General features: G+C 36.7%; 1 long non-coding RNA gene across 4 annotated transcripts in view, besides 1 other annotated feature; it reads left to right on the forward strand.

Annotated features, from left to right (window-relative positions):
• The window catches only part of LOC105378797 (uncharacterized), a 396,491-nt gene that overhangs the window by 350,921 nt on the left and 18,577 nt on the right, over positions 1-26,993 (forward strand). For all 4 annotated transcript variants that reach the window (XR_001737670.2, XR_947505.3, XR_001737671.3 and 1 more), the window contains 2 exons: positions 14,354-14,481; positions 21,139-21,178. This is a non-coding gene — a long non-coding RNA (uncharacterized LOC105378797). The remainder of the gene's footprint in view (positions 1-14,353; positions 14,482-21,138; positions 21,179-26,993) is intronic.
• Positions 14,301-15,281: an enhancer, noted in NCBI's record as "H3K4me1 hESC enhancer chr1:73113838-73114818 (GRCh37/hg19 assembly coordinates)". NCBI's record gives its function as "activates a minimal SCP1, AML or CMV promoter by ChIP-STARR-seq in naive H9 embryonic stem cells {active_cell/tissue: H9 hESC(naive)}" and the evidence as "EXISTENCE:reporter gene assay evidence [ECO:0000049][PMID:30033119]".

Raw genomic sequence — 26,993 nt, forward strand, 5'->3', positions numbered from 1 at the left:
TTCCTTTGGTGGTACATGCTTTTTGTCCTGTCTACAAAGCGGACCTTTCTGAATACTCTATTCAATTTTGCATGAGTTTTAACGTCTTTCTACCCTGGTTGGTGAGAACACACTGTTCCCAAACCCCTGTGTCAACTCTGATCATTATCCTACCTGCCCTTTCCTGTGTGTTTCTTTTCATAGCCTCAGGTGGTTTTCTTACACATCTGTATTGACCATTACTCAGCTAGAGACTTGAGAGATCCCTCCGAATAAACTCTTTCTCATCAATTTAGGGAGATGACTGGGCCCTGTTTAGGGTCCTCTGCGCTCTAAGGTCTACCTGAACTGTCCAAGCTGCAAGCTGGGGCAATTGCTACGCTTACTCTATTTTTCTTCTATTAAGGTCACTCTGGTGAGATGCTACTCTTCAATGATTGAAAACAAGTTTATATATTTTGTCCTGTTTTTTAATTAATTGAGGCAAGAGAATAAATCTAGACTGTTACTCTGTCATGGCCAGGAGCATACATCTATAATTATCTTTTTATGAGTCTATGTCCCTCAATAAAATCTGAACTCCTTACAGGCAGAGGATTAGATACATATATGGTGTTCAATAAATCTTTGCTGAATAAAATGTATGCATTTTTCCTAGATCCATGTGATTTATTTGGAAATCAGAAGGCCTGCTTTTATGTGATTCTTCTATTTTAACTACCACCTATTCTACTGGAGATCTCTAAAATGAGTACTAAAAGAAAGGAACATAATCTAGAATACAAGTCGTTTACTCACTACTGGGCATTTCTTTGCATGCTTTTAGTCACTGTTACTTTTAACTTGCTCAACTCAGCTTTGGAAATAGAGTAAGGTAAACATGATATCCCTTTTCCAGGAACTTGAACAGCTAAATAGTCAAATGGACAGCAGCTGGACCATATATTAAACTAGAATTCTGACTCACACCTTCAGCAACCAGCTCAAGAAGCCAAATCACCTCTTCTGTAGTCTTCAGCCTCAAACAGTCAGTATTTGATCAGATCAATAGCTGACAGCTTTCTCAATTTTTGTTGCTACTTCCACCTTAGGACTAACCAGAGAAAACCAAATAGATCTCATTTAACCAATGACATAGAACGCTCTACTTTTAGTTAATCCATTTCCAGCCTCCCTATGCCAACATCCCCAGTCAAAGCATACCTGAATCCTTCCTTTTTTTTTCCTACTGTAAAGCTTTCCCACTCCTCTGCCTGGCATTGAGTCTGTGCCAAATGTAAGTAATGCTGGCTTACTTCCTTGCCGTAGCAAGTAGTGAATAAATAGCATTTGCTCATTCTCTTTTGGGTAGTCTCAGTTTATTTCCACAAGCTTACAGCACAGCAGGAATTACAGTCCTAAACAGGGCAATTACATGTGTGATACATCATGGAAAAGAGAAACTGTGCCTGTAGATGAGAACACAGCCTAGGGTTTAGGTGAAGAGAAAAGGCATCGAATACAAGAGTATAAATGTTAAAGCCATAAAAATGTTATATTTTATTAACATATTCAGTTAAGAAAAGGCCCCCCATTTAAATTTCATAGAGCTTCCTTTCTATTATTTACTTGTTTGTTTTGGCAAGAATTTATGACATCTTTATGTACTATGAAAACTGGCATTGTTTCTAACCTTCTCATACATACTAGAAAAAAGAAGTTGGGGCATATTTTATCCATTAATTGCTATTATTTTATTTTACTTCATCCCACACTTAGATTATGGAAAGAAGGAAAAAATAATAATAGCTGTGGCATACCAGTCTAGTGCCAGACACAGGGATAAGGTTGACACCACGCTGAAGAAATAATGTTATCTCCATTTTATCAATGAAGAAACTGAGACACAAAGAACTGAAATAACTTGTCCAGGGTCACACAACTAGCAAAGTGTTTAATCCAAATCTAAACATATGTCTCTCTAACTGTACATCAAGGTTTCCCAACCTCCTCTGTCCTATTGACATTTTGGGCTGTGTAATTCTTTGTTGTGCTATCCTCTGCATTGTAGGATGTTTAGCAATATCCTTGGCCTGTGTCCACTAACTGCCAGTTGCACTCTGCGGTCATGACAATCAAAATGTCTCCAGACATTGCCAAATGTCTCTGGAGAGAGAAAAAATGCCCCTGGTTGAGAATCTCTGCTGTAGATCAAATATTCTACTTGTTAGTTTTTCATTAGCTAGCCTAATCTTTCATAATTTATCGTTTCCATAATATATTGTCAGCAACTTGCAGCGCACGCGCGCGCGCGCGCGCGCGCACACACACACACACACACACACACATACACACACACACCACCTCCCTCATTTCCCTAACCTACTGTTAAACTCCCTAACGAAGTTAGAAGTGATTTATTTTCAGCACGGGATTCTCTTTTATTTTTGCAATTGTGGTTTTGGTGGTTGACATATTTAACAAAAAAACCCTGAAGGAAATTCTGACAAAAGAACTGATTGTTGTCCTCCCAGTTGTTTGAGAAGGAACCTAAATATATGACCAGCTTCCTAATGATCATTTCGTTGTTCTTAGACCTTTAAATTAGTCCAGCAGCCTTGCTTTCTGTCGCTATGCCACAGGGTTCTCACCCTCCCTCCCTTCTTTGTTTTTACTTCTCTCTCTCTTCCTCCTTTGTTCTCTTTACTTTCCCTCCTTTCTTCCTCTATCCATCTTCTCTATTTTCCTGTTGTCTTTCATCTCTTCATCCCATTTCTCCCGCATCCTTTAGAACTCATAATACTAAAATATACATATTTTAAGATCTTCCTCTCTGTATCTTTCTGTCTCTGTCTCAATGTCTCTCTGTTTCTGTCTTTGTCTTTCTCTGTTTGTCTCTCTCTCTCTCTGTCTCTCTCTCCTGCCTTTCTCTCTCTCTTTTGCCTTTGTAGCTCCCTGCCAGTACAGCTGTCCCATACAGCCTTTGATGCTACTCTGTTATCTTTGGCACCAGCTCACAGGCTCCGCAGGGCTGAAGCTGGAACTCTTCCATCTCATCTCCTTTCTTTTGTCCTGCAATATGGTTATCCTGGAGGCCACTCAGCTGCCTCCCAACATTAGAGTTAGGTGACAAGAACAGGGAATAGACTCTCTGAAGCTAGAGGTAAGCGGCTGAACATCTTATAATAGTGAACACCTTTGTTGTTGCTAAAACTCTTTTCTAAACACATGCATGGGGTATTTTGAAATGAATTTTGGCATCTCTCATTTTTCCCTCAGCAAGCTGTGGTATCTGGCAGTGTTTTTCAAGAAAGTACTTACCTTTGATAATCAGACTGAGTTGAAATTATCCTGATTTCATTGTACTACAGACTTGAAGCAACATATTTTCCAAATTCCATGGGGTGAGCCAAATATTTTCAACTGCACAATAATGTTGAGCTGAATAAAAGGTTATGAAAAACCTGAAATAATGCATTTCTTTGGAATAATTCAACACTGCTTTAAGCCTACTTTCTTCTTTTAAGAACTCATTTCCTATTTAGAGCTAAATGAAAGTATATATTATCTCTGAACCTTGGACAAATTCTTTGGGGAAAAAAAAAAAGAATTGACTCTGATTTTAGGGTAGACAGTGCAGATCAAAGACCATGGATTCATTTTGGCCGATAACATCCTAACACTGATTCAGAATTGGTTAAGATGATTTGGAGGCATAGAAGTGTTAAAATTATATACTGCTTCAGTTCTACATTATAGTAAGAAGTTCCTGTGGAGAAAAATCTAATTTTAAGCATACCATGATTTTCCTGCATAAACATGAGGAGTTAGGAGCTCAAAGCTTTTCTTTAGAACACTGCTTGTACAAAAGATCTTTATCTGGTTCATTCTTGTTTGGTGTTATTCTGTGCGGAAAACCATGTGCTACACTTAGTCCATTTGCTTATCCCACTATGCAGCCACCTGCAGACTGATTATTTCCTTTTAAAGCAGGAGTAAAATCTCCACTTCCCTCCCTCCTGTAGGCAGCCTCAGCATAAAAGCCACTCATACAATGATGTTTTGTGAGAACAGATCCCATTAACAACAACAACAACTTAGATTTATATAGTGCTTTATCACACATGCAGCCAGGCAACTCCAGGCATTTTTCTAAAATGGAAAGCATTTCCTTTTAGGCCTCTAAAAAAATCCTTATTAAACAACAACAACACCAAAGACTAACTTGAAGATGTAAATGAATAGGAGGAAAAGTGTGTTTTTATTCTAAATTAAGGTAAGGTAGACTTCAAATCAAATTGTGCATTGCATTGTTTTGTAAACAGGTAACACTGATACTCAGTAACCTAATGAGAAAGACACTATTGTTTGAAAGACAGCTTAATCCAAGTACTTTGCTAAGTGGAGCATTTATTTATCAAGATTTAGAGGAAGTTTTATTTATTGCTGTAATGTGCTATGTAATACTTTTTTCTATATCGAGTTTAAGGTAGGGTGCTTATTTTTCCACCTATGTGATTAAGAATGTGGCCAGTTGATAATTAGCCATAAAATCACTTTAAAGAGTTTTCTTTTGTAATGGTAACTGGGGCTGTGGCTGTGGGTGGCAAAATCAATCCATGAATATTAAAGCCTTTAAGTCGCAAAGTACATCCCTCAACTTATAATGTTAGAAAATAGTAAATGTTTTCGTAGTACAAATATAACAATATTATAATACTTATTATCTATTTATGTTTTGTTTCTAACTGATAAATAGTATCATAGTTTGGATTACACCTCAATATCCATCGTTAACTGTATTTTTATGAAAAACGTTTTCTGTAGCAGTATTGTCTATGGTAAAAAAGAATGGTGTTTGAAGTCAGACATACCTGGTTTGAATGTTTGGCTTAGTTACTTCTGAATTGTCTGACCAAAAATTGAGTGATTATTTTTTTCAGGCTTAGCTTCTTATCTTCTAAACTATAAGTAAAAATATTGCAAGATATTATCGAGATACTATCCATGAAAAAAATTGGCATAATGTTTTTGATTAGGATTGAAGGTAAAATGATGTCCCAAGATTAACGGAGGGAAGAAGAGACAGCTATCTCAAAATATTGCCTTCAAAATACCAAATGCTCAGATATTTGAAAGAGCTCAGAGGAGTACAGAGAATAATCATTTCAATTTGAGGAGCAATCCCTGAAGGTACAATACAAAATTTTACTTTATGAAAAATGAAAAAAATGGGTATAAAAGCTGAAAGCAGGAGCTAGACCTCGTTTAGTTCAGAGATTTAGGGAAAGAAGGGCTGGATGAGATCTATAAAAGTAGCTATGTTTTCAGGAAGCACTCTGCCCTTAAAACCAAAGAGACATTCAGTGCTGGTGGTCAAATTGAATAAATATTACATAAAGAGACATAAAATAGGAAAGAACTCATCTACACAACTCTTGGTCATCCAAAAAAAAAGTTTTAACTTCCTGAATTATGGCCCTGAGCACTACACAGCAAATAGCTGGGGGAAGAAAAACTTCGTGTATTCAAAGATGGTTAATCAAAAAGTAATCAGTACAAGATGTATACTGCAAAACAATATCAATGACTGTGGAAAAGAAAAAAAACAACCCGCAAAGGAGAAAAAAAGAAAGCTGTTTCCATAGAGGTGATGCAATTGTGGTCCAACATTTTGCCAAAAATTAAGAAAAAAAGAAACACATTAAATGTCCTTATTAATAGGAAAATAAAGCAGTTGTAAGGAGCTCTTAAAGGTAGAGTAAGGTGAGAGGAGAAAATGAAGCAAGAGTTAGCAAGCATAAGGAAGAAGGAGGAATAAAATTCACCCACCCTGCATTATATTAATGAAAAATGAAATGGATAGAGCTAAAAAAAAAAAGTATAGCAAAGCAAGATGAGAGAAGCAAGCAAAATAAAATTGAAAATAATGGAAAAATCAAAGGATTAGTCAGTAAAATGACATATGCACCATAATTTGCAGCAGTTTTTACATTAGCTTAAGACTAGAGATAGCCTAAAAGTCTATGTTGAAATTATTATTGTCATACTGATTGAAAGAAATATTAAGAAACAGAAAATAAAAAGTTTGAAAAGATAGCTGCATGCTTACATGCAATATTCTATTGAATATGATGTTAAATGAGATTGCAAGACACTTAAGCATGTATTTATAATACAGTTGACTCTTGAACAACAAGGATTTGAATTGTGCAGGTCCACCTATGTAAGATTTTTTTTTTGAGATGGAGTCTCTCTCTGTCCCCCAGGCTGGAGTGCAATGGCGCAATCTCGGCTCACTGCAAGCTCCGCCTCTCAGTTTCATGCTATTCTCCTGCCTCAGCCTCCCGAGTAGCTGGGACTACAGGTGCCCGCCATATTTTTAGTAGAGACGGGTTTCACCGTGTTAGCCAGGATGGTCTCGCTCTCCTGACCTTGTGATCCGCCTGCCTCGGCCTCCCAAAGTGCTGGGATTACAGGCTTGAGCCGCTGTGCCCAGCCAATAATTTTTTTAAATAAATATTTTGGAAAAATTTTGGGCATTTGGGACAATTTTGAAAAATTCAAGAAATGAGCCATGTAACCTAGAATCATCAAAAAATTGAGAAAAAGGTATGTCATGAATCCATAAAATGTATGTAGATACCAGCCAATTTTATTATTTACTACCGTAAAATATACCCAAATCAATTTTTAAAAATTTATCAAAATGTTTGTGTACACTGACAGACTGTACATGGTGGCATTTGCAGTGAAAGGGACATTCAGTATTAAATAATAGCAGTAGGCAATTAATTGCAGTAAATACTGTGCTACTATAATAATTTTGTAGTCCCCTCTTCTTGCTATTGTGGTGAGCTCAAGTGTTGTGAGTGTCCACTTAAAACACCATGTGAAGGTAATCATCTCCCAGTGCACAGTTCTGCTCTTCAGTAAATTGTGTATGTTAGTAAAAAGTGACCTCTTGCAGTTCGGGCTTATTTTTCATCATGCTTTGTGCAGTACCATAAACCTGGAATAACACCATAGAACACATACAAAATGAAACTAGTGATGCTGGAGGTGTTACCAGGAAGAAGAAAAAATCATGACATTACAAGAAAAAATTTGAATGATTTGATCTGTGCTGTAGATTGAGGTCTATAGCTGGCTCAACTGAATAAATTTCTGCTGCCTGCCGTTTCAAGAGAAATGGGACCCAGACTAAGCATTGTTGTAAACAAAGAAAAGGAAATTCATGACTGTCACTGCAGCTATGCCAGCAGGTACAAAAACCTTGCACTTTTTGTGAAATAACTTTTAATTTTATATTGTATATGTAGCTTTTATAAGGGTACAGGATTGCTATAAGAAAGGCCTACCTATAGACTCTAATATTATTAGTGAAAAATGATGTCATTATATGACAACTTAAAGCAAAATGAAGGTGAAGTTTTTAAAGGTGGAGAATTTAAAGCCAGCAAAGGATGGTTTGATAGTTTTAGAAAGAAGTTTGGCTTAAAAAAATGTTAACATAACAGGAAAAGAAGCTTCTGTTCGTCAAGAACCAGCAGACAAGTTCCCAGACACAATTATGAAAATCATTGAGGAGAAAGGATATCTGCCTGAGCAAAATTTGAATGCAGACAAAAATGCCCTATTCTGGGGGAAAAAAACATGCAACAAAGGACATTTCTTAGTAAGGAATAGAAGTGAGCACTGGGATTTAAGGTACGAAGGGATAGGATGACTCTTACTGCTTTGTGCAAATGCAGTCAGGTTTATGATCAGGACTGCCCTTATCTATAAAGCTGCTAATTCTCTGAGACTTGAAAGGAAAAGATAAACACCAGCTGCCAGTCTCTGGCTGCATAACAAGAAGGCCTGGACAACGACAACTGTTTTTCTGAATTGGTTTTAATGATGCTTTGTCCCTGAAGTCAGGAAGTACACTGTCAGTAAGGGACTACCTTTTAAAGTTCTTTTGATACTGGACAATGCCCTTGGCCACCTAGAACCTCATGAGTGCAGCACCACAGGTGTTAAAGTGGTCTGCTTGCTCCCAAACATGACATCCTAATTCAACTTCTATATCATGGGATCATGAGGAAGTGAAAAGCTCCTTACACATGATAATCTATGGAAATAATGTCTCAACACTATGGAAGAGAACTTTGATAGAGAAAAAACCTCATGAACATTTGGAGGAATTACACCATTGAAGATTCCATTGTTGTTGGTGTGGAAGCTATCAAGCCTGTAACAATATATTCCTGCTGGAGAAAACTGTGTCTAGATGTTGTGCAAGGCTTCACAGGATTTACAAATAAATTGTGGATATGGCAAAAAGGTGGGTGCAGAGTGGTTGAATGAGTTCAAGACAGATTTTGAAGCAGTTCAGAGCTAATAGATACCACACCAGAGGAACAGACAGAAGACACAACTTGATGGAGATGAATGCTTCCAAGCCTGAGCCAGATGATAAGGAAGAAACGGTAGAAGAAGCAATACCAGAAAAGAAATTGACACAATACATTCAGGCAGAAGTGTTCTCATTATTCCAGACTGCTTTCGTCTTCTTTTATGACATGTACCCTTCCATGATATGGATATTGAAACTAAAGCAAATAGTGAAAGAGGGATTGGTACCATATAAAAACATTTCTAGATAAATAAAAAGAGAGAAATTACAGTATTTCCATAAAATTACACTGGCTGTGTCTACCTCTTCTGCTTCCCCTTTCATCTCTTCAACTTCTTCCACCTTTGAGACCCCTGAAACCAAACCCACCCCTTCTTTTTCTCCACCTCTTCCTTAACCTACTCAATGTCAAGATGATAAGGATGAAGACGTTTATAATGATCTACTTCCACTTAATGAATAGTAAGTCAATTTTCTCTTCCTTATGATTTTCTTAATAACATTTTCTTTTCTCTACCATACTTTATATTAAGAATACAGTATATAACACATATAATGTACAAAACGTGTTAATCAACTGTTTATGTTGTCAATAAGGCTTTTGGTCAACAGTAAGCTGCTAGTAGTTTTGAGCGAGTCAAAAGTTACATGCAGCTTTTCTACTTCACATGGAGTTGGCACCTCTAACTCCTGCATTGTCCAAGGGTTAACTGTATGACAATCTGTGGGGTGTGTGTGTGCTTGTGCCTTTGTAAGCATTTTCTTTTGTGAGCGTGTATAAGTAAAGTACAAGTAAAACTAATAACACTGAATGCCTCCAAGAAGAGAAATGGGTGGATGGAAAACAAGGATGGGAGTAAGATATGTAATAACTTTTAGGCTTTTTAAATATTATAGGAGACAAGTATATTAACTACTAAAAAGTGAACATAAACACAATAAAATATAGAAACGTATTTCAGTGCACCTAACTTCGGAAAATTTTAAAGTTATTTGCTCTGTGATTAAAAGACACTAAATGTAAATCCCATGACAGCAGGACCATTGCCCTACTTTTTTCTTTATTCACACAGGGAAGTTTGCCTAATGACTAATTGGGAGTTTACCTCAATTAACCACATGTATGGGAGGTCTGACTCTTTATATTATTGTACCACAACCAAGGCACTATCTTTTAATTGTACAGTCAATTTTATGTCTACTTCTAATGCCAATAATATTTACCACAGTATGAGCTAGGAATCCCTCCTGAATATAGGAGTGCAGACTTGGAAATACAAAACCATTTCATGAACCTGACAGTGGAAACATTTTTCTTGCTTTTCACCACTTTCTTTCTTCAATTATATCCCTTCACTTTTATATGCAGAATCTTTCATTAACGACTTATCCTCAAATGCAAAAGCATGCTGAAGTCACTCATATTCTAAAAATCACCCTTTCATCTAGACACTCACTCATTAATTTGAAAACTTTTAAAAAGAGAAATCTATACTTGCTATCTATACATTTTCCTTCCTTTTTCTATGAAATCAACTTCACTCTAACACCAACTCTGATATTGTTGCAAAAATTGCTGGTTCTAAAGATCAACTTGTTCTATTTTAACTCCTCTGCAACTTTTAATGTAGCTTGTCCACTCCTTCTGAAATCTCCTTTCTTTCTTTGGGTCTGCACTCCATGCTGAATTCTCCTTAAGATTCTGCCTAGACTATCTCAACATTTCGCCTGTTTTTTCTTTCTTCTTGCCTCTTAACTATTCACAGTTCCCAAATTCCGTATTTTCACCTTTCCTTTCCTAACTCTACAAATCTCTCTGAGTGAACTTTTCTACCCTATAGATTTTACTAATGTATGCATTAAGGTTACTTGTCACCTATAGACTTATATGTTATACAAACTCCCGGAGCGTTCTAGTGAAAATTCTCTCATATGATACTTACCTATCCAAATGTGCTTTTCTCCTATTTCATTACCATTCAAACTGATTAATCAAATTCTGACTGTTCTACCTCCCAAATGTCTTTTTAATCTATTTTTCCTCTCCTAACTGCCCAGCTGTTGCCTAAGTTCAGAATCTTTTAATCTTTTACCTAAACAGTGACCACATATAAATTGGAATATGTAGCTTTTAATCAACTCTAAATGGACTTCCCACTTTGTCATTTCTAGCTTTCCCACTATGCCTTTCATTTTCTAGCAAATATAGCTTTCATGTACACAATTTCGTTTTGTTACTTCATTTCATTAAAACTTTTATTATCTCTTCATGGCAGAAGGCTTAAGTTCAAGTAGCTGAAATATGTATACAAAACCTTCCATAATCTGATTCCAGATTATCCTACTTATATTTTTTGCTATTTCTTTTTAAGATCCTTCTTCTCACTGATGTTTTATATCTTTACTCAATATGCCACTTCCATTCCAGACTTCATGGCTTTGCACCAAAGAGCTTTTCCTCCAGCCATGTACTTCTCCCTTTTTTCCTGACCAATGAAATATCACTCAAACTTCCAAACTGAGCCCAATTACCATACCCTTTAAAGGCTATTTCTGACTTCTATAAGAATTGTTACGCTCATCTTTATTGTACATAATTTATTAGAATATCTATATATTTATAAAAATCAGATTATTTATTGCATTATAAAGTTATTTCTGATCCATGTTGTTTACTTCTCATACTGCAAAACAAATTCTTCCAGGAATCTGGTCTGTGTTTCAGTTATCTTACAGTCCCAATGGATAGCTTATTGCTAGACCCATAAATACCCTATATGATGTTTAGTTAATGAAAAAATTAAAAGATTTAAAAATATTAGAAAAATGCTTTATATTTTCTCAATAATTTTATGTATTATTTCAATTGATTTAATTAATAAGTGTGTGAAACTTTATCTCCATTTTACAAATGGGAATATCAAGGCATGCAAATGTTCAATTGTTTCATATTGTTCATACCAGTAGGCTAGGTTATGCAAATCAACACTCATGCTGAAAAATAAAATCTAAAAATAATGAATGAAAATTTTAATAAAACACTTCTAATTTTATAAAGGGTGACAAAACAGGAAACAATTGTTAGAGGCCAAGTAAAAGGAAAAATAAAACAGAGAGATAACAAACTTGTCAGTGATCTACGCTTAAGAGAAATTAGCACCTTTATATTGACAGTCCTTGAAGCTTTAATTATATATAAAAAAAAGAAACAACTCAAATCAGGTGGATCAAGGGGCAAGTTCTCACAGCAGACCATGCCCATAAAAATGAGATACCAAATGGCTGCTCTCACAGGATCAGAGTAAGTCAGAAGAAAAAAAGCCCGTGTGAAATTACTGTCTGGTGTTAATCTCCTGTGTATATTGCCTGATTCTAATCCAGTAGAGATCATCCAGGGAATTTCAGTCTTTGAATTTGTTTTAAGGTAATCTTGTTCAATCATGGGCCTGTTGCCCGAACTAGAAAAACACAATTCTCTCTTAAATATGTCCAATATAGTTCTGAAATAAATAATTTGTACTTGTAGTTATATTTGTATTAGTAGCTATATATAGCTACTAAAGTATAATATCCAGCACATAGTCAAAGATAGCTGTAAGGAAAAGAAAACTGAACTACAAGATTAAGACCTAACAAAATTGGCTGGACATGGTGGCTCATGCCTGTAATCCTAGCACTTTGGGAGGCCGAGGTGGGTGGATCACCTGAGGTCAGGAGTTCGAGACCAGCCTGACCAACATGGAGAAACCTCGTCTCTACTAAAAATACAAAATTAGCCAGGTGTTGTGGTGCATGGCTGCAATGCCAGCTATTTAGGAGGCTGAGGGAGGAGAATCACTTGAACTGGGGCAGTGGAGGTTGCAATTAGCCGAGGTCGCACCATTGCACTCCAGCCAGGGAAACAAGAGTGAAAACTCCATCTAAACAAAACAAAATAAAACAACAACAACAAAAATAAACAAAATCAACAAACTGTACAAATAGACCTGTAAGTGTTTTATTATTGACTAGAGACATGAAAACAACTATCTTTGCTGTGTTTAAAGGGACAAGAGATAGTCTTGAAGGTAGTAGCACTATTGAAAAATGAAATAAAACTTTTTGGAATTAAAAAATAAATAAAATTAAAACTTGTTGAATGTTTCAAGCATGAATATGTGGTATACTAGATTTGCTTCCCCAGGGGGAGAGAGAGAAAGAGAGAGGAAGAAAGAAAAAAAAAATGAGGAAAGAAAAGAAAGAGACAATATATTTTTATGGGCTAAATTGTTGTGTCCTCTTAAAATTTAAATTCCTAACAGACAATGTAATAATATTAGGAGGTGGGGCCTTTGGGAGGTATATCGATGATGAGAGTGGAGCCCTCCTGAATGGAACTAATGCCCTTATCAAAAGAACTTCAGAGACCTCTCTTGCTCTTTTTCTGCAAGTTGAGGATACAAAGAAAGGACAGCAATCTGCAACCTGGAAAAGGGCCCTCACCAGAACTTGACCATACTGGCACACATTCTAGCCTCCAGAACTGTAAGAAATATAAAATTCTGTAGTTTCTAAGCCACTCAGTCTACGGTACTTTGTTATAGTAGCCGGAACTAAGACAGTATTTGCCACACTGGTTTCGGAAATTAGGCAAGAGCAACACAAATTTCCAGTTGCTGACAGAAGGAAAACAACTGAAGTGAACCCTAAAATTTCCCTGGTTTACTGACTTGAGTAATTTTCAGACACCAGGGAGAAGAACGTAAGTTCTGCACTGAAGAATCACTGAATTAAGGAGTCTCAGATAACAGCTCAAAGAAACAGAAGAAAGCTTGAATTTGCAAGGCAGAGTAAAGAAGAAAAAATTATTCTGTAAAGTGATTCCAGAAATTAGCATCTTTGACCGAGCAGCTTAATTGAATATCTTTGGCTGAGGATCTCTCATAAGCCTTTAATAAAGGTGTCAAATGAGGCTGCAGTCATTTTAAGGTTCTCCTTGGGGAGGATATACTTCCAACATCACTCATATAGTTGTTAGTAGGCTTCAGGTTCTCCCTAGATGTTGCTTGGATATATCAGTTCTGCACCTTGTAGACCTCTCCAAAGAAAAGCTCACAAAATTAAAGTATGCTTTCTCTACAGTGAGGGTCAAGAGAGAGAGAGACAGGAGGGACAGAGATGGACACAGGCATAGATACACACACACACACGTCATGGTACTGTTGCAAACTAAGCTTGGATATGATATCCTGTCATTTTTGTTATATTATATTCCCCAGAGCCAGTCAACATTTAAGAAGAGAAGATCACACACAAGCAGTCTTCTATATAAGGAAGTAGGGATCATTGGGAGTCTTTTTATAAGCTGTGTACCATGAGATGTCCCCTGGTTTTTCAGTGATTCATTCCCTCCCACATGTAAATATATTCTGCCTTTCCCAAGTTCCCCAAAGTATCATCCATTATAGCATCAGCTCAGTGCCTGGACTCTCATCATCTAAATCAAATTCATGTGTAGATGAAACTCACTTAGTGTAGTTCTTTAAGTACAGCTCCCCACATATGTTCCTTATAATCTTTAGACCTATGAAATTAAAGAGATGGGTTAAGTGTTACCCACACATCTAACTTTCAGTGGCGGGACAGGCATATGAAAACCACTGTAGAGATTTCTATTTAAAAGGAGGAAAAATGACAGCCACAAAGAATCACGTGGATTATACTTAAATCTATGGAAAACATTCCTAGAAAAGGAAAACAATAGAATATTTGCTTCATCCTAAGTTTTTAAATTTTGTGAAATTTTCAACACAGGAAGAATTTCATTATTTTTCCTCACTATGCCTAACACATACTTTCTAGAAACTCAAGTCACTGAAAACTGCCATGTTTATTTATTGTTTTAGAGTAATTTGAGAACAAATTAATTATTATTAGAAGATATTCAAGAGAGAATATTTAAATCCGTAAGTACTGACATAAATAAATAATGTTCTAAATCAATTTCTACCTAAGGCTGTAGGTATACCACAAAGTGATGGCATCCACGGCCGTATGGATTGGCTGCTGAGAAGACACCACTGCAGTGGGGGAGGCACAACCTGGGCTGTGCACTCTGCGGAGCCCACAGGAGCTGGAAACAGGTGGGAACCCCACCCCCTTCCAAGTTGGTGGGGAGGAGCCCCGCCCTTCTGGGCACAGTTGCAGCTGCCCAGCTGCAGCTGTGAACCAAGGCATCTCTGTACTCTCCGGGTCTGGGGAAGAGCCCCCCACCCCTACCCCTGCAGGCTCAGAAGTGCCTGCTCCCCGGCCTGGACTCTCCCAACTCCTGGTGCCTGCTCCAATTTCAGAGCAAAGTTGAGGCCGAGCCTGAGTGCTGTCCCAACCCAGCTGGGTGTGCATGCGCTCGGGCTGGTGCTGACATGCCAGCCCCTTGTCACCTTGGTGCCCTCTGGACTTTGGGCACTGATGAGCATGGGAGGGGAGGCTGAGGGGAGTTGAGGCCAGCTTGGTACAGGCCTGCAGGTGCCCCTTGGCATGAACAGCCTGGGAACCCTGGATGACATGATGGATAGTGGCAGGAGGCAGACAGGCTTCTGGGTGGAAAGGGGTGGGTCCCCAGTGAAGCCCCACTTTCAAGCCATGGACGTCCTGAACCCCACCTTCAAGCCATAAACGGCCGGAAGCTTGGGGACAGTCTGTCAGTACTGGGTGGAGTCCGCAACTTACGATGCTTTTTCTGGAACTGCCTCATGGCTGCCCATGGACCAATCAGAATGCACTTCTTCCGTTATGAAGCCTGTAAAAACTCTGGACTCACCCAGACTCACAGACAGACGTGGGGATGACCAGCTGTGGGAAAGGAGTTACCCAATTCGGGTCTCCTGGACGACTCAGGATGACCTGCCTATGGAAAGTAGCTACCCACTTAGGTCTCTTCTCCACTAAGAGCCAGACGCTCGTTGGGACGACCTGCCTGTGGAAAGGAGCTACCAGCTTTAGGTCTCCTGAGAGCTGTTCTGTCATTCAATGAAGCTCCTCTCTGCCTTGCTCACCCTCCAGTTGTTCACATACCTCATTCTTCCTGGGTGCAAGACAAGAACTTGGGACCTGCCAAATGGCGGGACTGAAAGAGCTGTAACACAAACAGGGCTGAAACCCCATCCCCGCTTGCCACGTTGCCGGCGACAAGAAGGAGGGAAGAGCTGCAGCCCTTCAGGAAGCCGAGACCTAGGGGCTCCCTGAGCTGGGGCTGTGACACTCTTTTTTCGGGCTCTGCAGTTCCTGGCATCTCCAAGCTTCTGGGTACCACCATGTTTCTCTCCTCCAGACGTAGGTGTCCACGGTGGAAATCACCTGCGGTACATCTGGTCCAGCTACAGCCTCGCATGGAGCCGGCACCTGAGCCAGCACCTGTGCTGGTGCCTAGAGCTGCCTGCCCCGCCGCAGTAGCCACTGGCTATGCGCAGTGGCCGGACCCCATGTTCACTCGCCTACATACCCCTTGCCATTCCGCACCTGTCTCGCCCTTGGCAGGTGTGGGGTTCAGCATGGTAGTGCGAGCCGAGTGCAGCCTGCCAGGCGTGTAGGTGGAACAGGCCCAGCAGGCCTGAGCAAAACCCGCTCGCCACAGAGGTTTCTGGCTGGCAAAGTGACACCCCAAGGATCCTGTGACAAAAACATTTCCTTAGAATTGTTAGACCTCTCAAATGACATGATATAATTTAGCATTTAATGGAATACATCTTTTGTTGTATTGTCATTGTTTCTTGATATATTTTATCTCCTGTCAAATTTTATGTTTTTGAGAATGAAGTACACATTTTTGCTACTTCCCCCGCCCCTGAAACTCTGACAAAGTCCGTATGACTCAGTAATGAAAAAATATTAGGCACCCAACAACCATTTCCTATGTTATTACTTGAGGCTGTTTATAATCAATTTGTAATGTGGTGAAAATGGCCCAGAAGGTTAAAAAAATGTTGAAAAACTTGGTGAGGGAGGTCAAAGCTCTGAGTGAAAGCAGAGGGAGTTTATCCTGGAACCTGATGAAAAGACCAGGAAAGAGAATGGAGCGTTTGCTGTCTCTGGGCCAAGCCTTAGCAGCCAGCTCTATTGGAAAGCCTGAATCAGCAGCCTCATGGACCTAAATTAAACATTTTGCTAATATATAATTCTCTTCATTTTATCTAATTTTACTCGGGTATTAAGTAAATCAGATGTGGGCAAACCTTTTGCCAAATTAGTGAGTAGCTTTTGAATAACAAGAAAAATGATCATTTGCAATATTCATTGAATCTTGTTAACATGAATTATAGTGAATGAAGACCTGCAGCAAGATTTATTAAAAATTCAAACTTTTAACAATTGCAGCAAGGCTTTGGCTATTGATACAGGAGAAGCAATACAAAAAGAACACTTTTAACTTTGCAAATTAACTTGGTTAATCACTTCACAAGGGAACAGAAAAAAGATCCAAATGTTTTCTTCCACTTAATAAAAGATTTGCAAAATAATTGAGCCAGTACCATGGAGCATTTTTTTTTCTTTTTTGGCATATGGAATTTCCACTTAAAAACCTAGCAATTTAGAAATGCTCACAATTGGAAAGTTATCGATTTTTTTCAAAAATTGGTGAGGGAACCAAGATTATCATTATTGCTTTGAATGTTTGAGAAGTATTAAGCAAAGGCATGCATATATATGTACATACACACACACACACACACACACACACACACGCATATTTATATATTTCTAAGGTCAAAAAGTCAATTTTAGCCTTGTAGGTATGTGGGTATGTGGTCACTGCAGGCATTACAGATTATTGTATTTCATATTGTGCTCAATTGCATTTGCAGCTTCCCAGTCTGGTAAACAACTAATTCTCCCGACACTGTTCGCAGTGAGTTGAAGCCACTGCTCTTGCGTATTCAGCATCTCTTTTAATTTGTAAGCAGTTCTATAAATCTTTCTTGGCTTCTAGGGACATAAAGACTCCTATGATGAAGTGGCCTTCATGGTGGCTTAACAAGCTGAAGGCTAGCTTTTTCCTTCCATGCATCCTAGGGACTACTGTCTTATTCCTGGCAAAGTAGATCAGATTTTGAATTCTAGCCAGGGTAATTAGCACACTTTAGAATCTCAATACACAAAGCAGAATTGTCAGCATTAGCAAAGATGTCTTGAGAGTGTTTTCTGAGTGGTAGAAAAAAGGAATGTCCAGCTGCTGCGAGTCTTTGGCACTCTAATGAAAGTGACCCACTACATGCATTTGCACCTTAGGAAGGGTTGTGTATATCAACACACTAAACTGTGAGGCAGTGTCTTCATTACCTGTTTTCAAATGTATTCTAAAAAATAGAAACAAAGCAAGTGATGGGGGTGTCCCTAATATTCCCTAGAAAGCAAATTCTCACTGAGAAAGTTACGCTCCCTAGAATAGAAATATCACCAAAAAAATAAGTTTAAATTTCTAATAAAAGCAATTTTCCTGGAAATCAATCAGTTTAACATATTATGAAAATGCAAAATTGCAAACTATCCTAAAATAGGTCTAGTGGTGGAGCTAATATGGCTGGATTTTAGACATATTCATTATCAGTTTGTCATAAAGGTGGCAGTGTCTAGGTTTTTTGCAGCAGTATTTTGGAAGCTTGACAGTGGTGATGAAATATGTTGGAATTTTTTAGGGAGCTTCAAGACCTGTAACTAATATTCCAAGCTTTAAGTTTCATATTAGAAGAAATTCTCTGGGAAATAAAATCAAATATTTCACTGGATGCACCATGCCTTTTTCTTAGCCACTCAGGAGGCTGAGCAGAAGAAATGATTTGAGCCCAGGACTTTGAGGCTATAGTACACCATGACTGTGCAAACCAAGTGAACAGCCACTTCTCACTCTAGCCTGGGCAACATAGCAAGACCCTGTCTCTTAAAAAAAATCACATGCTGTCTTCTACCAAGGTGTCCTCTGAGACAGATAAATTCAAGTTGTATATGTGATACTTTTTATTTTAATAGACTTGCTTTTTTAGAGCCACTTTAGGTTCACAGTAAAATTGAGCAGAAAGTACATAAACATCCCATGTATTCCCTATTCCCACATGTAGGTAGCCTTCCCAGTACCAACATCGTGCACCAGAGTGATACATTTGTACAATTGATGAACCTACATTGACACATCATTATCATCCAAAGTCCATAGTTTATGGTGGGATTCGCACTTGATGTTGTGCAGTGTATGGGCTTTGATAAGTGTATAACAAGTACCTACATTATGGTGTCATGTAAAGTAGCTTCACTGCCCTTGAAATCCTCTGTGCTCTTCGTTCATCCCTCCCTTCCCCCAACTATTGGCATCCCCTGATCGTTTTACTGTCTCTAGATTTTTTATTTTCAAGAATGTCATATATTTGGAATCATAGAGCATGCTGCCTTTTCAGATTGGCTTCTTTCACTTAGTTATATGCATATGAGTTTCATGTCTTTTCATGGATCCATAGTATTTTTTTAGCACTGAAGAATATTACATAATATGAAACAACACTTTCATATTGATTTTATTAAATATGGCAATATGTAACATACCACATATTATGCATATTATACATGTTTAAGTGTGTACACTGTATGTATGTAGGTATCTGTGTATGTATATGTGTGTATGTATGTGTGTTTGTGTGCGTGCCACGACTTTAAGTCATAACATTCTTATTTGGATAATTAGCCATACAAAATAAGACAGAAGATTAATTTTTTGTCCCATCAATAAAAAGTACCTGGTTAAGTGCACATTTAAGAGAGAGAAACCTGTAATTCTATGGTATATTCGGCAATAGGTAACATACAGTGGAAGTGTCTAACAAAGCAATCTCGATAGCTGTCTGTCATTAGTTATAAATCATTTTCTTGACACACTGGCATTTTGCATAGCTTATTCTCTTTCAAGAAAGTGCTTGATAGATGCTCCAAATTATTATTTTGGGTGGAGAAACAGGACAAATCCTCTTGGTATATTTTTGGTTATTACTATCAATTTCTCATTAACCTCTTGGCTAAGTAGTGGGAGTTACTGATCCATGTAGTCAAGATGAGAAAAATGTCAGTCTATCAAATTAAAAATATACATAAAAAATTAATTTGCAATGAAGGCCAGAGGAAGTCACACATTTTTAAATTCTTCAGACTCTTTGAAATGGTGTTTCCTTCCCATTTTGCTCTTTTATAAGCAGACAGAAGACTAAAATCACATGTTAAGTTTAAGGCAAAATAATTATTTGGCCATTCTTTTAAGTATGACTCTAAATGAAAATTAAACCCTTATTATGAGACCAAACAAAGAATTGTTGAAGGATAAAGGTAATAAACTCAAGGACTGGTTTATTTCTCTAGCTTAAATTCCACTGACTGCTTTTCATTAAAATAGACAGGGATGGTGCATTTCTGTGTGCATGTGTGTGCATGCACACATAGACACACACAGACACACACACCTAAATATATCTCTATCTTACATCATTGATCACCATACAATTTACATATTGTAAAATCACTGATTCTTTGGTTCTTAACTTACTGATCACCAATGTACTTATTGTTGGCTTTTAATTTTTTTTATTCTTCAGAAGTATTATATATCTGATAAAAAGTTAGACAACACTAACAAGCAAAACAAAAATAAAATGTCAATAAACTTCAAAGGTATTCACTATTAAAAGGTTGGTGAATTTACAGAAGTAACATACAGTTGTAGTTTACAGTCATAGAAATCCAAATTTAAAACCTGGCTCAACAACTTATAAACTCTATGACTTATGGTCAATTTATTTACCAAGCTAAGGCTCACTTTCATTATCTGAATAATAAAATGACAACTAGCAGTGTTTTCTGTGAAGACAAAAATAAGAAAACATAGCTATTGCTATTATCATTAGCTTTTGCTATTATTATTTGTTATAGATGTAACAAATGTATTTGTACCTATATATTTCCTTTATTGAAAATATCATACATTTATTTACAGATATTGGACATTTGTCATTTTTAATTAACTGTATAGTTTGAAAAGTTTTCATGCCAAATGAAAAGATTTAGTGCTACATTTTAAACGATTTTTTAAATAAGTGTTCATTGAATAAGTATTCTACTATTTAGTTAGCCAGTGTATTATTTGGGACATTTAAGTTACTTCTAATATTCATTTTGTTAAGTGATACTCTCAGAAACATACAGCCAAACTTTTTAAAAATTTTAATTATCTCCATGGAATTATTATATTTTGAAAAAGTGATTTCTATAAGCTTGATAGATACTTCAGAATACCATCTAGAAACATCATACCCGTTTATACCAACACTCCAGCTGTGTATGAAAATGCCCAATGATTCTATCATAGCTGTAAGGATGATTAAGATATTTAAAAGCTGATCTAGCTAGGTGGTAATATGGATGCATATAAAGAGCTTCTCCAGTTTCTCAAGAAAGTCAGTGTCATTTGATAATCTAGAATTTACAAATATGGGTTTAATATAATCTTTTAATTGTGTGTGTGTTAAAGGTTTCTGATTTTCAGTTTTAATTTATTTTGCATTCTATTTAATATCCTATGTATTTTGTTTGCTTTGTTCTGTTTCTTGTGGCTTTCCTTTTATTTCAATACCTTGTATATTGGTGATTCTCTTAATGTTAAAATATTAATTTTTATTTGTATAAAAATTATTTTTAAACATTTTTATTGGTTTTTATTGGTGATTCTCTAAATGCTAAAATATTAATTATTGTTTTATGCTTCTTTTCAGAAACACTACTTGCTGCTGCTAGGTCAGAAACAGAAAACTGGTAAGATTGTATGCCCAAACCAAATTCACCTCTGAGTGGAATTGGTTCTTAGCCTCCATTTTCATAAGAAGACTGTATCTGATTTTGTGAAGTCCACAGTGGAGGCTCAGCAGGTTAGGTCAGGATGCTGGGCTGATTAGAGTCAGATGTATCATGTCATACATTTGTTCTTTGGATACATCAGAATAAAGAGAATGTGCATGAATATTTGAATTATAGCTAGAAAAATAACAAGGCATTTTATGGGCTATATATTTATTAAAACAACATGTATGTGGGAGAAAATGTGGTAGTAATTTCACTACTACTGACAAATGCTGAAAGTGACAAATATGGTAAAGGAAAAGAAGAAGTAAATCAATTATTGGGAATAAAAATAGCATATTCGTAGGCATTTAGAGACCCTAATGAATTCATGTACATTGCCACTGTTGTTTTGATAGCCTTTTTTTAATAGAATATATCATTATTTGGTCAACATACACCTGGGATGTTTTACACATCATTTCTTCTTTGAGTATTATCTTATCTTTACTCTAGATATCTAATCTCTTCCTGTCTTCTCATAGATTACTATGGTCTAAATGTTTGTATGCTCCAAAAATTCATATTTTGGAATCCTAATCTCCAGTGTAACGATTTCAGGGGATAGGGCCTTTGGGGTGTAATTATGTCATGAGGGAGGAGCCCTCATGAATGGGATGAATGCCTTTATTAAAGGGACCCCAGTGAGATGCCTTGCCCCTTCCACCATGTGAGAACACAGCAAGTAGGCACCATCTATGAGAAAGCTGTTCCTCACTCAATGTACTAGTGTCTTGTTCTTGGACTTTCCAGCCTCCAAAACTTTGAGAAATACATTTATGGTCTTTATAAGTTACCCAGTTTACGGTATTTCATTATAGCAGACTAAGATATAGATTTTACACTGAAATGCACATTTTCTCTCTTTAATCTTAAATTTTCCATTCTCTAATCTCTCTTCTCTAATCATTCAAACATAATATACAAATTTCTACCATCTAAAAAAATAAGAGGCTGGAAGAGGTGGCTCATGCCTATAATCCCAGCACTTTGGGAGGTCAAGGCAGGAGGATTACTTGAGCCCACAAATTTGAGACCAGCCTGGACAATATAGGAATACCTCATCTCTACAAAAAATTAAAAAATAGCCAGGCATAATGGCACATGCCTGTAGTCCCAGCTACTCTGGAGGCAGAGGCAGGAGTATGGCTTGTGCCCAAGAATTTGAGTCTCCAGGAAGCCATAATTATGCCACTGCACTCCAGACAGGGTACAGCAAGAACTTGTCCAAAAAACAAGACAAAACAATACAAAACAAAAAAAAATGAAACAAACATATCTGAAAAGTTTCACTAAATTCCTGATGATATGCACTATCATTAACATTTTTGTCAACAAGGTCAACGAGACTCAGAGATGGTAAATGCACAAAGTCACAAGTGGCATCACTGCCATTGAAACCCTAGGCATGCAGAGACCATGTTCTTTCTAGTATGTAACATGGCACATTGTCTCTCTTAAATGCAGTACTGTCCTACTGATCATATAAATCATAACATAAGATGCCAAGGAGCTTGTTTTTCTAAGATAGTCCTGAAATTTGCCAAATATATTTATCTTTTCTTAAAGGGACTGTGTCAATATGGCACTACCTGGTTCAATGAGCCATATTTTTCTGTAGTTCAAGTACATTTCTTAACTAACTCCCCTTGTGAAAGATTAGTGGAGAATTGAGCCAGCTGCAAATACATTGTGCTTGATTTTTGTGAATTAGCATGAAAACTAAAATTCCTAGAAAATTGATGGTTGGTAGAATTTACATAATTTTGGTCATATTAAGAACTCCCAGTTATTGAAATATAATTTGCCCCTTTCTGCTATAATATCATGCTTTTTTTGTGAAATGAAGATAACAGCTGAGGCCTAATTTATTTAAATTCTATTATACAGTCAGTGAGCAATATGATAAGTATCTCTTCCATAAAAAAGATCTTTTGAACATGAGTCATCTATGCTAATGTAACTTATTAATGTATTCACTTTTTATAGACCACTCAAAATTTCTTCACACATTTTTTTCATAATAAATTAACTGTAGATTTTTTAGTCATTTGGATACATGCATTATTTCATTTTAGGCTTTGGTATATTCCTGTACACATAACATACAGACACTTCCAATTATGCATTCCTGACTTTCTGAAATCTCATCAAAATTCGCTTTTGTACCTGCGATATTATCAACATCAAGAGGCTATAAATTATCTATATACACGCTCATTCTTAGTATTTTTCCTCCATTTTGGTGGAAACATTGTTTCTTCCGCATAAACAAAATACTTCCACCAGTATTCCGCATCTCAACCCTTCCTCTATCTCAGGGACTTGGATCCATCAATTATTTTCTCTGACAACTGAATCCTTAAACTCTACCTGTCTATTTTTGTTTTCTCTTCAATATACAACCTATTTCCTCATTTGAAGTAATAAACACACCAAGTCTACTCTTATAGAAAATTTCAATTATACAATACACTATTATTAACTACAGTCCCCGTGCCGTACATTAGATCTCCAGAACTCATTCATTCAGCCTAACTGAAACTATGTGCCCTTTGACCAACAGCTTTCCATGTTCCCATGCCCTAGTTTCTGGAAGCCACCATTTTACTCTCTGTTTCTGAGTTCAACATTTTTAGATTTCACATAAAACTTACATCATGCAATGTTTGTCTTTCTGTGTCTGGCTTATTTTACTTAATATATAATTTTTAATTTATCAGCTATACTTCAGTGAAGTGCAAATAATTTAAAAATGAAGTGACAAATACAGAAAAATCTCTATGTCCACTTTATATATCTTTCTAGATATTACCCTATCTCTAGGCTTTTTTTCCATTGTCAGTTCTCCTATTTCCTTCTATATACCTCCCCTATCTTCTTCTATGCTTAATGGTCTAACCTCTTAAAATGCCATGCACAATTTACAATCTCTTCCTCTATTTTTTATATTTTCTGTCTACTTCTACTACCCATCTTCCACCTATAACACTCCATTGAAAATATGCTCCATAGATTCACCAATGACAATTTAGTTACTAAATATTTCATATTGCTTAATTGCTTTATTATTAAAAATGTCTCTTTTTCTTTCCTTTGTTCCACATTTTCTTCATTTCCCATTTCTGTTGCTTTCCTTTTGTGTCCTATATTGGCTCCCTTAACTTCTGCCTGCTTTTTCATTCACACTTCCCAAAGTCCTGTCCTTGGCCCTCTTCCTACTCCTCAGAGTCCCACTGAGGAAATTCTATGTGTTCCATAGTTTCAGCTACCACCTATGGGCTGTTAGCTACCAAATGGATTTCCAGGCCAAATATTCCTTCTGAATTGCAGACCCATAGACTTATCCCAATATTTCTATTGGACATCTTGATATACACATATATGATGTTAGATTTTTCTTCTCCCCTCCCCTCCCCTCCCCTCCCCTCCGCTCCCCTACCCTCTCCTCTCCTCTCCTCTCCTCTCCTCTCCTTTCTTTTCTTTTTTGAGACAGAGTCTCACTCTGTTGCCCAGGCTGGAGTGCAGTGGTGCGATCTTGGTTCACTGCACCTTCTGCCTCCGGGGTTCAAGAGATTCTTCTGCCTCAGCCTCCAGAGTAGCTGGAATTACAGGTGCATGCCATCAAGTCAGGCTAATTTTTGTATTTTTTAGTAGAGATGGGGTTTCACCATGTTGGTCAGGCTGGTTTGAACTCCTGACCTCAGGTGATCCACTCACCTCTGTTTCGCCAAGTACTGGGATTACAGGTGTGAGCCACCGCACTTGGCCCAAATGTTTTATATATACATATATATGTGTGTGTGTGTGTGTGTGTGTGTGTGTGTGTATATATATACACACATATATATGTGTGTGTGTATATATATATATATATATAAAACTCCTATATATCTCCCCCCGGATCTTTCTATTCTTTCTATGTTTCTATCTCTATAAATAAAATTAAAATCCATCCTGTAGCATAAACATGAATTTATAAATCATCCTTGCCACTTCTTTTTCCCTTACCAGTTTGACCATGAAATTTGATTAGATCGAATTCCTTAGTTTCACCTGAATCTGGCTCTTATTTCCATTCCCACTGTTAATTTCTTAAAGATTACATAATTTTATTTATTTTCTTATTTTATTTTTTGGCATCGAAAGACTCCTAAATAGCATCTGTTTTTCTAAATTTTGTACCACATCCTCTCCCCTCAATCCATTATTTATATTGTTTTCAGTATGATCTTTTTTCAAAGTAATTTTAGTGCATCATGCCAGTCTTCTACTTAAAATCTTTTAATACAATCCCCACCCCCAATCCCTTGGACAGCTAGCATTTAGGAAATAGTTTCCCTTTCTCAATGTGACTTTTTAATGATAACACTTCAGCTTATCTCTGACCTGAATTCTCATCTCATCTCCCTCATAATGTATTTTCAAGCCTTTTTAAGGACTTGCATTTTCTCCATGTACATTTTACTCTCTTATCACCGTGCCTTTGCAAATGTTACCCTCTCTGCTTTTATCAGCATCCTAAACTAAATTTTACCTGGCTAAATATATGTGTTCTTAGAAGAAGTCACTCAGGTATTATATCTCCTAATAAGTATTGTGTGAACCTCAAGTGTAGCTTTAGTTCTTCTCCTCCACACCTGCTGCCATTCTTTCATTATTCAATATTATTGGATATGCCTCTAATATGTATATTACTAAGTACAATAATACTTAGTAATGACATATTTTCCTGTCTGTTTCCTCCATAAGAATGGAAGTTACTTGAAGTAGAAACCAGTCTTATTTATGTCTTAGCTATACTTCTTGTCACAGTTAATACTGTTAATAATAATAAACAGCAATTACAAAACCGATATTTATAAAATTTTACTTGCAAAGCTGACTTTATTTACATACACTAATCAATTTTATCCTCACAACAACATTATAAGATAGATATTATTGTTATTCCAGTTAGGAGATAAGAAAACTGAGGTCAGAGATGTGAAGTAATGGATACACAGGTCAAAAATGTCGGAGCTTGTATTTCAAAAAAGGTAATAAGGTGTCTATGATATGCTTTTAACTACTATACTCTACTAGTTCTCTAAATACAGAATGACATTCTTAATAACAGAAGTGTGATATAAGTGACCAACACAGGGAATGCATTAGATTTGGAAATAAATTATAAACTGGCTTTAGGACGTATTGATATTAAAAGAAATAGTAATGATACTGCTAAAAGACAACTACCACTTTGGACAAGTTACTTAATCTCTACAAGTCTTAGTTTTATCATCTGTACATTGAGAATAATGATTGGTACCAATTATGTTGGGTTGTCACAAACATTTAAATAATGAATTAAAGTGCTTAGACAGACATATAATTGTGCCTTTAATAAATTTTAACTTCTTCATTATATCTTCACTGTCATTACTTGTGTTAGACAATATCCAGAGAATTACCAAAAGCTATTTCTAAGATCCTAGATTTGCTAATTCTAACCTTAATGCTACCTGACTGTCTGACACAAAGGCAAGCAAGCTTAACAAAATTTTATTATTCAGTGGACACGATTTATAAAGATGAAGTCTTCAAAAGATTCTAATATCTCAATTAAATTCATGAATACCCTATTTGGGGTACCTTTTGTTGCCATGTCAATTTTTTTAGTACAAACAGCAGCAGATTTTGCATAACTTTGGTTAAAAAATAAATAAATTAGAAGGATACTCGATTACTT

This window comes from Homo sapiens, chromosome 1 (genome assembly GCF_000001405.40).
Source record: "Homo sapiens chromosome 1, GRCh38.p14 Primary Assembly".
Classification (NCBI taxonomy): domain Eukaryota; kingdom Metazoa; phylum Chordata; class Mammalia; order Primates; family Hominidae; genus Homo; species Homo sapiens.